This window comes from Homo sapiens, chromosome 12, assembly GCF_000001405.40.
Source record: "Homo sapiens chromosome 12, GRCh38.p14 Primary Assembly".
Classification (NCBI taxonomy): Eukaryota; Metazoa; Chordata; class Mammalia; order Primates; family Hominidae; genus Homo; species Homo sapiens.
Genome location: NC_000012.12, coordinates 6,584,786 through 6,597,619, shown reverse-complemented (window position 1 = coordinate 6,597,619; position 12,834 = coordinate 6,584,786). Strand labels below are relative to the sequence as shown.

General features: G+C 46.9%; 1 protein-coding gene across 3 annotated transcripts in view, besides 2 other annotated features; it reads left to right on the top strand.

The window, feature by feature from the left end:
• Positions 1–12,834, top strand: part of CHD4 (chromodomain helicase DNA binding protein 4) — a 37,298-nt gene that overhangs the window by 9,760 nt on the left and 14,704 nt on the right. For all 3 annotated transcript variants that reach the window (NM_001363606.2, NM_001273.5, NM_001297553.2), the window contains 13 exons: positions 1,483–1,614; positions 2,190–2,286; positions 2,970–3,161; positions 4,004–4,204; positions 4,392–4,529; positions 4,803–4,924; positions 5,054–5,227; positions 5,563–5,704; positions 5,795–5,926; positions 6,037–6,154; positions 9,198–9,322; positions 9,671–9,908; positions 10,061–10,236. In NM_001363606.2, coding sequence (NP_001350535.1) covers positions 1,483–1,614; positions 2,190–2,286; positions 2,970–3,161; positions 4,004–4,204; positions 4,392–4,529; positions 4,803–4,924; positions 5,054–5,227; positions 5,563–5,704; positions 5,795–5,926; positions 6,037–6,154; positions 9,198–9,322; positions 9,671–9,908; positions 10,061–10,236 — 1,987 coding nt within the window. The remainder of the gene's footprint in view (positions 1–1,482; positions 1,615–2,189; positions 2,287–2,969; positions 3,162–4,003; positions 4,205–4,391; positions 4,530–4,802; positions 4,925–5,053; positions 5,228–5,562; positions 5,705–5,794; positions 5,927–6,036; positions 6,155–9,197; positions 9,323–9,670; positions 9,909–10,060; positions 10,237–12,834) is intronic.
• Positions 428–927: an enhancer, noted in NCBI's record as "H3K4me1 hESC enhancer chr12:6705859-6706358 (GRCh37/hg19 assembly coordinates)". NCBI's record gives its function as "activates a minimal SCP1, AML or CMV promoter by ChIP-STARR-seq in naive H9 embryonic stem cells {active_cell/tissue: H9 hESC(naive)}" and the evidence as "EXISTENCE:reporter gene assay evidence [ECO:0000049][PMID:30033119]".
• Positions 928–1,429: an enhancer, noted in NCBI's record as "H3K4me1 hESC enhancer chr12:6705357-6705858 (GRCh37/hg19 assembly coordinates)". NCBI's record gives its function as "activates a minimal SCP1, AML or CMV promoter by ChIP-STARR-seq in naive H9 embryonic stem cells {active_cell/tissue: H9 hESC(naive)}" and the evidence as "EXISTENCE:reporter gene assay evidence [ECO:0000049][PMID:30033119]".

Sequence of the window (12,834 nt, the reverse complement as noted above, 5' to 3'; positions counted from 1 at the left end):
TAATTTTTTGTATTTTTAGTAGAGACAGGGTTTTCATTCTGCTGGCCAGGCTGGTCTTGAACTCCTGACCTCAGGTGATCTGCCTGCCTTGGCCTCCCTAAGTGCTAGGATTAACAGGCGTGAGCCACCACGCTCAGCCTTATATATTTATTTTGAGACAAATTTTAGCTGTGTTGCCCAGGCTTGAGTGCAGTGTCGTGATCACTGCTCATAGCTGTCCCAAACTCCTGGGCTCAAGCAATCTGTCTGCTTCAGCTTCCCAAAGTGTTAGGATTACAGGCGTGAGCTACTGCGCCTGACACTTCATGTTATTATCTTTATTTATTTATTTTATTATTATTGTTTTTTTTTGAGACAGACTTGTCACCCAGGCTGGAGTGCAGTGGCGTGATCTTGGCTCACTGCAAGCTCTGCCTCCTGGGTTCACGCCATTTTCCTGCCTCAGCCTCCCGAGTAGCTGGGACTACAGGCCATCGCCACCATGCCTGGCTAATTTTTTTTTTTTTGTATTTTTAGTAGAGACGGGATTTCACTGTGTTAGCCAGGATGGTCTTGATCGCCTGACCTTGTGATCCGCTCACCTCCTCCTTCCAAAGTGCTGGGATTACAGGCGTGAGCCGCCGCACTCGGCCTATTTATTTATTTATTTATTATATTTTTTGAGACAGAGTCTTGCTCTGTGGCCCAGCCTGGAGTGCAGTGGTATGATCTAAGCTCACTGCAACCTCCGCCTCTCAGGCTCAAGTGATTCTCTGCCTCAGCCTCCAGAGTAGCTGGGATTACAGGCGTGTGCCACCACGCCTGCCTAATTTTTTTTTTTGAAATGGAGTCTCGTTCTGTCGCCCAGGCTGGAGTGCAGTGGCGCAATCTCAGCTTGCTGCAACCTCCGCCGCCCGGGTTCAAGCAATTCTCCTGCTTCAGCTTCCCGAGTAGCTGGGATTACAGGCACCTGCCACCATGCCCGGCTAATTTTTGCATTTTTAGTAGAGACGGGGTTTCTCCATGCTGGCCAGACTGGTCTTGAACTCCCGACCTCAGGTGATCCGCCTGCCTTGGCCTCCCAAAGTGCTGGGATTATAGGCGTGAGCCACCGCGCCCGGCCTGATGCCTGGCTAATTTTTTTTTTTTTTTTTAGTAGAGACGGGTTTCGCCATGTTGGCCTGGCTGGTCTTGAGCTCCTGGCCTCAAGCGATCTGCCTGCCTCAGCTTCCCAAAGTGCTGGGATTACAGGCGTGAGCCACTGCACCCGGCCAACACTCTATGTTAATTATTAACTGACTGAATTCTGGTGTTTGAGCTCTAGGAAAGTATAAATTAGAGATAATTTTTGGTCAGAGACTGGTACAGTAGAGGCTCTGAAAACGTGTGATCTGTGGCATACCTAGAGGTCTGGTGTGAAACAAACGGTATTGCCAGTTTTTGAGAGGAAGTGAGGAGGGTTGCCTTTTCTGGCTCTGAGGGTTTTCTCTCCTGGACTTGCAGTGTGGACAAGAAGGGCCACGTCCACTACTTGATCAAGTGGCGGGACTTACCTTACGATCAGGCTTCTTGGGAGAGTGAGGATGTGGAGATCCAGGATTACGACCTGTTCAAGCAGAGCTATTGGAATCACAGGTGAGTGATTTTGGGTGAGGCATAGAGTTGTTTCTTTTTTTTTTTTTTTGAGATGGAGTCTTGCTCTGTCACCAAGCTGTAGTGCAGTGGCGTGATCTTGACTCACTGCAACCTCCGACTTCCTGGTTCAAACGATTCTCCTGCCTTAGCCTCCTGAGTAGCTGGGATTATTTGCATACGCCACCACACCTAGCTGATTTTTTTTTTTTTTTTTTTTGAGACGAAGTCTTGCTCTTGTCCCCCAGGCTGGAGTGCAATGGTGCGATCTTGGCTCGCTGCAGCCTCCGCCTCCTGGGTTCAAGCAATTCTCCTGCCTCAGTCTCCCGAGTAGCTGAGATTACAGGCGTCTGCCACCATGCCCAGCTAATTTTTGTATTTTTAGTAGAGACGGGGTTTCACCATGTTGACCAGGCTGGTCTCGATCTCCTGACCTCAGGTGATCCGCCCGTCTCAGCCTCCCAAAGTGCTGGCCTCCCAAAATGCTGGGATTACAGGTGTGAGCCACTGTGCCTGGCCAAGTTGTTTCTTCTATAGAAAAGGATTTTGGGCAGCTGTGTGATGTCTTTCTTCTTTAGGGAGTTAATGAGGGGTGAGGAAGGCCGACCAGGCAAGAAGCTCAAGAAGGTGAAGCTTCGGAAGTTGGAGAGGCCTCCAGAAACGCCAACAGTTGATGTGAGTGGGGGTGGAAGGGACTGTAGTTTGTTGGGTAGGACAATGTATCTTTGCTGCAGTCTAATGATGGTACTCTTAAGTAATGAAATGCAGATAGTAACTTTGTAGCTGAGATTACTTCACAAAGTCGGCTTCCCCACTTCTCCACATCTCTATATATCAGAAAGCACTAGGATTACTTTCTTCTTTTGTCATCAGAAAAAAAAAAAGGAGGTATATTTTGAATGATTGAAGAAGTGTTGTCTGGGGGGAGGGGCCACATAGCCTAGCTTTTATGCACTTACATAGGAATCTGGCTTAATTCAGGCTCAGTTCCTCTGGGTTTTGTTTGTACAGTGTAATTTGAGGGTGATTAAAGTTAAAAAGATGAATCTAAGAGGGACATAACGATTATTTACCTGGTGGATCCTGACTAGTAGAATTATTGTATTGGTAGGGAGTCTGTGACGTGCTTTTCCTCAGTGATCTGTAGGATCAAAATCAGGTCTGGTTAAGCCCTGTTTCCTGGAGGACCCTAAACTGAACATGAAATTGCAGTAATCATAGGGGATCTCTTCCCTCCGAATTTTCCGGAGCTCTTCCCCAAGAGGATCCGTGAAGACTAGTGAGGAGGAAGCAGCTGCTCTATTAGGGGAGGAGGGGAGTTCCTTGCCAGCTCTTGACTTCTCTGTTTCATCCTTCAGCCAACAGTGAAGTATGAGCGACAGCCAGAGTACCTGGATGCTACAGGTGGAACCCTGCACCCCTATCAAATGGAGGGCCTGAATTGGTTGCGCTTCTCCTGGGCTCAGGGCACTGACACCATCTTGGCTGATGAGATGGGCCTTGGGAAAACTGTACAGACAGCAGTCTTCCTGTATTCCCTTTACAAGGAGGTAAGGAAATCTGGGGTGGATAGTTTTTTGTGTGGGTGTTTTGTGTTTGAAGCCTTAACTTACACTGAGTAGAGAGATAAGGGAATAAAAAAATTGGTCTCTGACCTTCAAGAACACTGTGGATAATAGATAAACACATGTACACATGTGTTTAGTAGATAGTAGATAAATGTGATAGTGGATAAACACATGTACACAGCGGAAGATTTGAGGGCATGGAGCCCTGGGTAGGATTAGCAGTGGATCCATAGAGTATCAGTTCTAGGGGAATGATTGTGTGTTGAGGGAAGTAGAATTATGAGTAGAATTAGTATGGAAAGGCTTGGCTGGACGCAGTGGCTCATACCTGTAATCCCAGCACTTTGGAAGCCCGAGGTTGGTGGATCACCTGAGGTCAGGAGTTCGAGACCAGCCTGACCAACATGGCGAAACCCCGTCTCTACTAAAAATACAAAATTAGCCGGATGTGGTGGTGCACGCCTGTAATCCCAGCTACTTGGGAGGCTGAGGCAGGAGAATCGCTTGAACCCGGGAGGTGGAGGTTGCAGTGAGCTGAGATTGCGCCATTGCACTCCAGCCTGGGCAACAAGAGTGAAACTCCGTCTCAGAAAAAAAGTATATAAAGACTTAATGGGAGAGGTAAGACTTGTAGTTATGGTGGGACCTTGGGTTTTTGGAAAGGAGTGGGCTGGGCACTTGTATAGAGGAAGGTGAGAGCAGGAGCAGCAGCGCAGGTGTGTCAGTCCTTGGCTCAGCTTGAGGGGGCAGCAGGGTGGTGGGTGTTCGCTGGGGTTGCAGTGTGCTGGGGCCCTCAGTCCTGACTCTCCTCTTTTTTCTCAAAGGGTCATTCCAAAGGCCCCTTCCTAGTGAGCGCCCCTCTTTCTACCATCATCAACTGGGAGCGGGAGTTTGAAATGTGGGCTCCAGACATGTATGTCGTAACCTATGTGGGTGACAAGGACAGCCGTGCCATCATCCGAGAGAATGAGTTCTCCTTTGAAGACAATGCCATTCGTGGTGGCAAGAAGGCCTCCCGCATGAAGGTATCTCAGGGGAGGGAAGCCACCCTAGAGAAAGAGTTGTGGCTTCTGGCTTAGTTTACCTCCTTGTGATCTGGTCCCTGGTGAGGCAAAAGGGTAACCCTGGGAGGAGGAAAACATTCCATCAGTCTCCTGGTTGTGCTTACACAGAGGAACTGACTAGTAGTGACCAAGTTGCCTTCATGTGCAGAAAGAGGCATCTGTGAAATTCCATGTGCTGCTGACATCCTATGAATTGATCACCATTGACATGGCTATTTTGGGCTCTATTGATTGGGCCTGCCTCATCGTGGATGAAGCCCATCGGCTGAAGAACAATCAGTCTAAGGTGAGGGCTGAGGGAGGGATGTTGGAGCCCCCACTTTGGGTTTTTTCTAGTACTACCAATTCATTAAGGGGAAAACTTGTAGATGGAGAGGAGAGGGGAAAATTGTCTCTGCCTTCCTTCCTTGTATGTGACAGCCCTTGGTGGCCAGGCCTTTAAAAAGAATGTGAGGAGTGGGATGCTTAACTATTGGGCAGTGAAAAACTTGAAATTTTGTAGAGATTTGCTAGAGCTCTGTTTTCATTGGATTTCACCTTTCTCCATCTGCTTCACCAGTTCTTCCGGGTATTGAATGGTTACTCACTCCAGCACAAGCTGTTGCTGACTGGGACACCATTACAAAACAATCTGGAAGAGTTGTTTCATCTGCTCAACTTTCTCACCCCCGAGAGGTTCCAGTAAGTATGTGTTTATCTGTAATCGGCTCATAATTGTGCCTCTCATTCTTCCTGTTGCCCATTTCCTGTATCACTTTTCTTTCTTCCTTTCTCCTTCTCCAATAACTTTTTTCCTTTTTCTTTCTGAAGCAATTTGGAAGGTTTTTTGGAGGAGTTTGCTGACATTGCCAAGGAGGACCAGATAAAAAAACTGCATGACATGCTGGGGCCGCACATGTTGCGGCGGCTCAAAGCCGATGTGTTCAAGAACATGCCCTCCAAGACAGAACTAATTGTGCGTGTGGAGCTGAGCCCTATGCAGAAGTGAGTTGGGAGGGACAGAAGCAGACTCCATTTAGACATCTGCCAGTCTGCAGAGTGTTTCCTATTCCTCCCCCACTCAGCTTCAAGGCATCTGGTGACAGGAGCAAGCAAGGCCTGAAGAAACCTGATGCTAGGGCGCTGGAGCGCATAGTTCTTACTTATTTTAGGTTATACCTTTCCTTATTTAAAATGGTGGTGGTGGTAGTGCTTGTGCGTTAGGTGTCCTTAGTTCCAAAGTGGGATGTGTTGGAAGAAAGATCTCAGTTGTTGGCACTGCATTATTAGTCATTGAAAGGCTCTCAAGTCTAACCTGTCTTTCTACCTTGCCCATGTAGGAAATACTACAAGTACATCCTCACTCGAAATTTTGAAGCACTCAATGCCCGAGGTGGTGGCAACCAGGTGTCTCTGCTGAATGTGGTGATGGATCTTAAGAAGTGCTGCAACCATCCATACCTCTTCCCTGTGGCTGCAATGGTATGTAGTGCCATCTCCTGTTCCTCCCTGGGTTGGGTCTTCTCCATGTGGGCTTTCTTTTAATACTTTTTTCTTTGCATTTGTTCTCAGGAAGCTCCTAAGATGCCTAATGGCATGTATGATGGCAGTGCCCTAATCAGAGCATCTGGGAAATTATTGCTGCTGCAGAAAATGCTCAAGAACCTTAAGGAGGGTGGGCATCGTGTACTCATCTTTTCCCAGGTATCATGTGGACTGGGAGCTTTAGGGAACAGTCATAGACAACCCTTAGTGACCTAAGGAAAGGGATTACCATCTGACTCTTCCATAATTAAACCGTGCTTCTTTTGCAGATGACCAAGATGCTAGACCTGCTAGAGGATTTCTTGGAACATGAAGGTTATAAATACGAACGCATCGATGGTGGAATCACTGGGAACATGCGGCAAGAGGCCATTGACCGCTTCAATGGTGAGAGAGAAGGAGTTGTTTAGTTTCAGGAATCCTCATTTGCTTATATCTTTGGACTGTAACTTCTTGTGCATCTCCTTTTCTGTGTAGTTCTTTTGGGACTTTGTCATTTGAGATGGAGTAAAGCTTTTGAATGTCTCAATTGGACGAATGTATTGGACTATTCCTAGGAGATTTTTTCTTTTGGGGTATTTGTTCTTTCTGCTAGAAAGAAGAAAGCATTGTATCTCGAGGGCAAGCAAAGGGTCAGGACTTGTTCAAGCTCAAATAGCAAGTTACTAGCAGACTTGTCTGCCTCAGTAGACGCTACTAGGTTTTTTTTTTTTTTTTTTTTTTTTTTTTTGAGATGGAGTCTTGCTCTGTCGCCCAGGCTGGAGTGCAGCGGCACGATCTTGGCTCACTGCAACCTCCGCCTCCCGGGTTCAAGCAGTTCTCCTGCCTCAGCCTCCCAAGTAGCTGGGACAACAGGCGTGTGCCACCACGCCCAGCTAATTTTTGTATTTTTAGTAGAGATGTGGTTTCACCATGTTGGCCAAGATGGTCTCGATCTCCTGACCTCATGATCCGCCCACCTCGGCCTCCCAAAGTGCTGGGATTACAGGCACGAGCCACCACGCCCAGCCTGTTTTGTTTTGTTTATTCGAGATAGGGTCTCACTCTGTTGCCGAGGCTGGAGAGCAGTGGCACAATCATGGCTTACTACAGCCTGGACACACCCCCAGGCTCAAGTGATCCTGCTGCTTCAGCCTCCCAACTAGCTGGGGCTGTAGGCTTGATCCACTGTACCTAGCTAACTAAAAAAATTTTTTTGTAGAGATGGGGTCTTGCCATGTTGCCCAGGCTGATCACAAAGTTCTGGGCTCAAGCAATCCTCCTGCCTTGGCCTCCCAAAGTATTGAGATTATAGGCATAAGCCACTGTGCTCAGTATCACTACTCCTTGTTTAAAAAAAAAAAACTTTTTATTTTAATTTTAGACTTAGAAAAAAGTTGCAAAACAGCAGAGAGAGTTCATGTATACTGTTCAACTAGCTAGCTTCTCTTAATAATAACTTACGTAACTGCAGTACAATGATCAAAACTAGAAAATTAACATTGGTATTGTACTATAAATGACAGAACTTCAATGAATGTCACCAATTTTTCTTGATGTCTGTTTTCTGTTTCAGGATCCAATCCCAGGTCCCGTGTTCCATTTAGTTATTGTGCTTCCTGCTATCTGTGACATTTCTTTATTTTCTTATATGATACAGATTTTTTTTCTTCTTCGGGATGGAGTCTCACTCTGTTGCCCAGATTGGAGTGCAGTGGCGCGATCTTGACTCATTGCAACCTATGCCTCCTGGGTTCAAGCAATACTCCTGTCTCAGCCTCCTGAGTAGCTGAGATTACGGGTGTGTGCCACCACGGGCCCAGATTTTTGTATTTTTAGTAGAGACAGGGTTTCACCATGTTGGCCAGGCTGGTCTCGAACTCCTGACCTCAGGTGATCCGCCCGCCTTGGCCTCCCAAAGTGCTGGGATTACAGGTGTGAGCCACTGTGCCTGGTCAATATAGATACTTTTGATAAGCACTGTTCAGTTATTTTGTAGAATGTCTCTTAAGTTTGGGTTTGTGTGATGTTTTCTCTTGATTAGATTAGACATTCTGGGCAAGAATGCCACAGAGGTGATGATGTGTCCTTTTCTTTTTTTTTTTTTTGAGACAAAGTCTTGCTCTGTCACCAGGCTGGAGTGCAGTGGCCTGATTTTGGCTGACTGCAACCTCTGCCTCCCGGGTTCAAGCCATTCTGCTGCCTCAGCCTCCCGAGTAGCTGGGATTACAGGCACCCGCCACCACGCCCGGCTAATTTTTGTACTGTTAGTAGAGACAGGGTTTCACCATGTTGGCCAGGATGGTCTCGATCTCCTGACCTTGTGAACCACCCGCCTCAGCTTCCCAAAGTGCTGGGATTACAGGCGTGAGCCACCACGCCCAGTCGATGATGTGTCCTTTTCAGTTCATCATACTGGGGGACGGACATGATGTTCATATGTCCCCTTACTGGTAATGACTTGATCACTGGTTAAGGTGGTGCCTGCTGAGTTTCTGCAGTGTAAAGTTTCTATTGTTCCCATTGTGATTGATAAATAGCTTGAGGGAGATATTTGAGACTATGTCAGTGTCCTGTTTCTCCTTAAACTTTCACACCGATATTAGTATTCGTCAGTGGACCTTGATTACAATGATTATTACTGTGGTGTTTGCCTAATGAGGTTTTATATTCTGACATTCTTTCTTTTTTACTTCTGCCTCCCGGGTTCAAGCTATTCTCTTGCCTCAGCCTCCCGAGTAGCTGGGATTACAGGTGCCTGCCACCACACCTGGCTAATTTTGTATTTTTAGTAGGCAGGGTTTCACCACGTTGGCCAGCTTAGTCTCGAACTCCTGACCACAGGTGATCTGCCCACCTCAGCCTCGCAAAGTGTTGGGGTTACAGGTGTGAGTCACTGCACCTGGCCTATTCTGACATTTTTCTATAAGAGTTAGGGTCTTGCTCTGTTGCCCAGGCTGGAGTGCAGTAGCACAGTCAGAGCTCATTATAACCTTGAACTCTTGGGCTCAAGTGATTCTCCTGCCTCAGCTTCCTGAGTAGCTGGGACTACAGGCGTGTGCCACCATTCCCAGCTAAATTTTTTTTTTTTTTTGAGATGGAGTTTCTTGCTCTGTTGCCCAGGCTAAAGTGCAGTGGTGCAATCTCTGCTCACTGCAACCTCTGCCTACCAGGTTCAAGCGGTTCTCCTGCCTCAGTCTCCTGAGTAGCTGGGATTACAGGTGTATACCACCACGCCTGGCTAATTTTTGTATTTTTAGTAGAGACAGGGTTTCACCGTGTTGGCCAGGCTGGTCTCGAACTCCTGATGTCAAATGATCCACCTGTCTCTGCCTCCCAAAGTGCTGAGATTACAGGCATGAGCCACTGCCCCCGGCTTAATTTTTTAAACTACATTTATGAATTGGAATTTAGGAGACACTTCTAATGGTGTTTTTGGTTCTTTTATTAGCACCGGGTGCTCAGCAGTTCTGCTTCTTGCTTTCCACTCGAGCTGGGGGCCTTGGAATCAATCTGGCCACTGCTGACACAGTTATTATCTATGACTCTGACTGGAACCCCCATAATGACATTCAGGTGAGCAGAGGCAGCAGGCAGCCTTAATAAGTAACATGTTATGCTAGAAAGGCATAGTGGCCTCTATGAGGGCTCCACCATCTGGAATTAGGTTTTTAAGTGAGAAACAACAGATTCTTTTTGTGTTGTTTACCTTATTGTAAGCCAGAGTTTGGTTAGCTGTGATCCTATTTTGGGTAACATGATAATAGAGGGTGGTGTCTGGAGGCAGGGGTGCAAAAGGAAGTTTCCTATGAATGTAGGCTGTGGACCTTGCCTTGTACTGAATTTAGAATATTATGTGGAAGTCAGGATAAGAGTGGCACCAGGAAAATACAATTTCTGGCTTTATTTCCTGTTCAACTCCAGGCCTTTAGCAGAGCTCACCGGATTGGGCAAAATAAAAAGGTAATGATCTACCGGTTTGTGACCCGTGCGTCAGTGGAGGAGCGCATCACGCAGGTGGCAAAGAAGAAAATGATGCTGACGCATCTAGTGGTGCGGCCTGGGCTGGGCTCCAAGACTGGATCTATGTCCAAACAGGAGCTTGATGATATCCTCAAATTTGGCACTGAGGAACTATTCAAGGATGAAGCCACTGATGGAGGTGAGGTAGTCAGGAACTTACGTTTTGGTGTGGGGCTTGGCCTCTCTAAAGGTTAGGGAGAATCTTTGATACCAAGGGTCTTGTGGGACTTGCTTTTTCCACTGCAGCTGCTGAAACTGACTTTGGGGATGTGGGCCCTTGATTTTTTATAGGAGGAGACAACAAAGAGGGAGAAGATAGCAGTGTTATCCACTACGATGATAAGGCCATTGAACGGCTGCTAGACCGTAACCAGGATGAGACTGAAGACACAGAATTGCAGGGCATGAATGAATATTTGAGCTCATTCAAAGTGGCCCAGTATGTGGTACGGGAAGAAGAAATGGGGGTGAGTATGAATCCAAGGCAATCCTGTGCTTGGTAATTGGTCTGAAAATTGGCATTGAGACCAAGGTGGTATTTGAGACAAGTGGAAAATATCTGTAGGCAAATTCTTATGTTGATGAATTGATCCTCTTCCTTTGAAAACAAAGCTGATAACATGACTAATCAGATTTTCATCTTTGCCTTGGTTGTCAGAAAACTTACAACCAAATATCATGCTCACAACAGTTATTTTGGCTCTTTACCAGAATGTCATTTTCTCCTATGTGTTTTATTAAACCTTACAAATGAAATTTTGAATGCTACCTCATCTCTCTAGAGAAAAGGCAGAAGATCCTAGGTAATCTATCTCTTTGTGTTTTCTGGTTTTTATTTAAGAGACAGGGTCTCTACCAGGTGCAGTGGCTCACATCTGTAATCCCAGCACTTTGGGAGGCCGAGGCAGGCAGATCACTTGAGGCCAGGAGTTTGAGACCAGCCCGGCCAACACGGTGAAACCCCGTTTCTACTAAAAATAAAAAAATTAGCCAGGCACGATGAAGCACACCTGTAGTCCCAGGTGTTCGGGAGGCTGAGGCAGGAGAATTGCTTGAACCCAGGAGGCGGAGGTTGCAATGAGCTGAGATTGCGCCACTGCATTCCAGCCTGATGACAGAGCCAGACTGTGTTTGAAAAAAAAAAACAACAAAAAAAGAGACAGGGTCTTGCTCTGTCACCCAGGCTAGAGTGCAGTGGCACAATCATAGCTGAGTGCAACCTTAAACTCTTGGGCTGAAGAGTGACCCTAGTAGATGTGTGCTACCACACCTGGTTAATTTTTTAAATGTTTTTAGAGATGTCTTGCTATGTTGCCCAGGATGGTCTTGAACTCCTGGCCTTAAGCAGTTCTCCTGCCTTGACCTCCCAAAGTGCTGGAATTACAGGTGTTAGCCACCACACCAGGCCTCCTTGTGTATGTATGTATGTATGTATTTATTTATTTATTTTGAGATGGAATCTCACTCTCTCCCCCAGGCTGGAGTGCAGTGGTGCGATCTTGGCTCACTGCAAGCTCTGCCTCCCGGGTTCATGCCATTCTTCTGCCTCAGCCTCCCGAGTAGCTGGGGACTACAGGTGCCTGCCTCCACACCCAGCTAATTTTTTTTGTATTTTTAGTAGAGATGGGGTTTCACTGTGTTAGCCAGGATGGTCTCGATCTCCTGACCTTGTGATCCACCCACCTCTGCCTCCCAAAGTGCTGGGATTACAGGCGTGAGCCACTGCCCCTGGCCTTATATATTTTTTTTTTGATACGGAGTCTTGCTCTGTTGCCCAGGCTGGAGTTCAGTGGTGCGATCACAGCCTACTGCAACCTCCACTTCCTGGGTTCAAGCAATTCTCCTGCCTCAGCCTCCCAAGTAGCTGAGATTACAGGTATGCACCACCATGCCCGGCTAATTTTTTTATAGTTTTAGTAGAAACGGGGTTTCACCATGTTGGCCAGGATACTCTAGAACTCCTGACCTCAAGTGATCCGCCTGCCTCGGCCTCCCAAAGTGGTGGGATTACAGGCATGAGCCATTACGCCTGGCCTCTTTGTGTGTGTGTTTTTTTTTTTTTGAGACAGAGTCTTGCTTTCCCGCCCAGGCTGGAGTGCAGTGGCATGATCTCGGCTCACTGCAACCTCCGCCTCCCGGGTTCAAGCAGTTCTCTTGCCTCAGCCTCCCGAATAGCTGGGACTACAGGCACGTGCCACCACACCCAGCTAATTTTTTGTATTTTTAGTAGAGATGGGGTTTCACCATGTTTTTTTAAAGATTAGAATTGGGCCAGACGTGGTGGCTCACGCCTGTAATCCCAGCACTTTGGGAGGCCAAGGCGGGTGGATCACGAGGTCAAGAGATCGAGCCCATCCTGGCTAACACGATGAAACCCCGTCTCTACTAAAAATACAAAAATTAGCTGGGCGTGGTGGCGGGCGCCTGTAGTCCCAGCTATTCGGGAGGCTGAGGCAGAGAATCACTTGTACCTGGGAGGCAGAGCTTGCAGTGAGCCAAGATTGCCCCACTGCACTCCAGCCTGGGGGACAGAGCCAGACTCCGTCTCAAAAAGATTAGAATCGGTATATACCTTTTTATTCTCCTCCCTTCTTTTTCTTGGTCTTTTATAGTAAAAAAAATAGTATGTGAGGAATGTGTGTGTGGCTTGTTTTAATGTTTTTCTCTCCTAAATGATATAGAGGGGTATGAAATGGAAAAATAAAATTTCCTTTTTCTTGTCCTCTGTAAACCACTCAGCTCCGGGTTCTTTCAGTTGGCATTGGTTCTGGTGGTCTTTGTCATCTTTTCTCATTCTTCCACCTCAGAACCATCCCCCTTGCTGTGTTTCCCTGATGCTTACCTGTGATTTTGTTCTCGAAGGTAATGCGTCCAACCTCAGTTTATATGTAAGTGTGGCTGAATGGTCTGACATAGGTCTGTGTACCGTAGTGTTCAATCAGAAACGACCCTATTGATAGAATGCTCACATTCCTTTCAGTGGCAGTGAATGTAATAGAAGTGATTGATGGGAGAGCACATGCTAAGTGGATCATCCTTGCTGGTGACTACATAAGTATACAAAT